Here is a 1,228-nt window from a genome sequence, read left to right on the forward strand (position 1 = left end):
AACAATAACAACAACAATAAAACATTAACAACAACCATTTATTGAACACCTATTGTGTGCTCCTTGCTGCTTTAGGGAGGAGGTATTTACTGCTAACCAAGACAGAGTCTCTGCCCTCATGAATTCTCTATTCTAGTAAGGAGATGTTTGTGTCTGGTCCCTCCTTTATGACAAACAGTTGTGAGACCTGAGTGAAATTTTTTGGTAATACTAGCGTCTGTGCTTGTGTTTTTATTTTTAAGAACAAGGAAAAATCAGGGAGTAGGCCTTATGTTTTAACTGCACCTGTGGGTCCAATTCTAACTGTATTCGTATTTTGGTTGTTGTTGTTCAAACTGCAGTTGCTGACTCTTATTAACTTACATAAGAAGAAGGAATTAATTTGAAGAATATTGAGTTCAGAAGGAATAGTTCAGAAGGAATAGTTGAACAATCATGTCTGGGGAAGGGTAGGAACTAGGGGTCCTTGGAGGGTCTCTGTAGCAGGAACTCTCAGGTCAATTTGGTAGGGTGCTGCTCTTGGATGACTCAGCTCCAACAGCCTTTTCTCCCAGGGTTTCTTAGTGGGAGGTCCAGTTCGCTGAGATAGCAAGGTTTATCGGTCTAGCTTAAGTCAGCAGCTTACTACTCTGACCAGAAGGAGTTGGGTAATATTGATGGACAGACTTACCAATACCACCTGGGATGGGGGCTGGGCAGTTCCCCACAGGCAAAGGGAGGTGCTCTTGGGAGAAGAAGGGAAGAAGAAATAAAAGCTGAACCAATCAAAAACTGGTGTTCAGTGCACTAATTTCCTCCTTTCTCTGCCTGTTCCCATCTTTCTCTCTTACTTTCAATATTCTCAATTATGAGAATATCCTCATAATTTTCTCAATTTTTCTGCATTTCTTCTGCTTATCAACATCTTGACTTTGGCAGTCTGACAGGCTTTGTTGAATTGTGCTAGTGGGGTATAAGTGCCTGAGGGTTTCTAATCTCTTCTCTGATGCCTCTAAAGGAATGCCTTCTGAGTTGCAGCACATTTGTCTATTTTTAAACATGTGGAGACTCAATGATATCTCAGTGCTTTGTGCCTTTCATGTTTTCTAAATAGCAAAATTGAAAACTCCTAAATTTACTTATAGCACTGTTTATAGTGGTGAAAATTGGAAACAAGCAAGATGATCAAGAGGGATTGGTTAGATAAATCATCCTGTGTCTTCCACAACCATATCATCCAGTGACTCAA

At 40.3% G+C, this 1,228-nt stretch overlaps 3 annotated features.

Moving 5' to 3' along the window:
• Nucleotides 366-1,228: a transcriptional cis regulatory region, noted in NCBI's record as "candidate enhancer chr3.2746 targeted for multiplex CRISPR interference". NCBI's record gives its function as "positively regulates MITF gene expression with high confidence in K562 cells {active_cell/tissue: K562}" and the evidence as "EXISTENCE:mutant phenotype evidence [ECO:0000015][PMID:30612741]".
• Nucleotides 457-601: an enhancer, noted in NCBI's record as "145 bp enhancer 231 fragment used in the MPRA reporter construct; PK_construct_3703". NCBI's record gives its function as "activates an SV40 promoter by MPRA in K562 cells {active_cell/tissue: K562}" and the evidence as "EXISTENCE:reporter gene assay evidence [ECO:0000049][PMID:23512712]".
• Nucleotides 524-534: a transcriptional cis regulatory region, noted in NCBI's record as "NFE2L2 motif; MPRA enhancer 231 activity is reduced when this motif is scrambled". NCBI's record gives its function as "necessary for full MPRA enhancer 231 activity {active_cell/tissue: K562}" and the evidence as "EXISTENCE:site-directed mutagenesis evidence [ECO:0005528][PMID:23512712]".

The sequence above is a fragment of the Homo sapiens genome, chromosome 3, assembly GCF_000001405.40.
Source record: "Homo sapiens chromosome 3, GRCh38.p14 Primary Assembly".
NCBI lineage: Eukaryota > Metazoa > Chordata > Mammalia > Primates > Hominidae > Homo > Homo sapiens.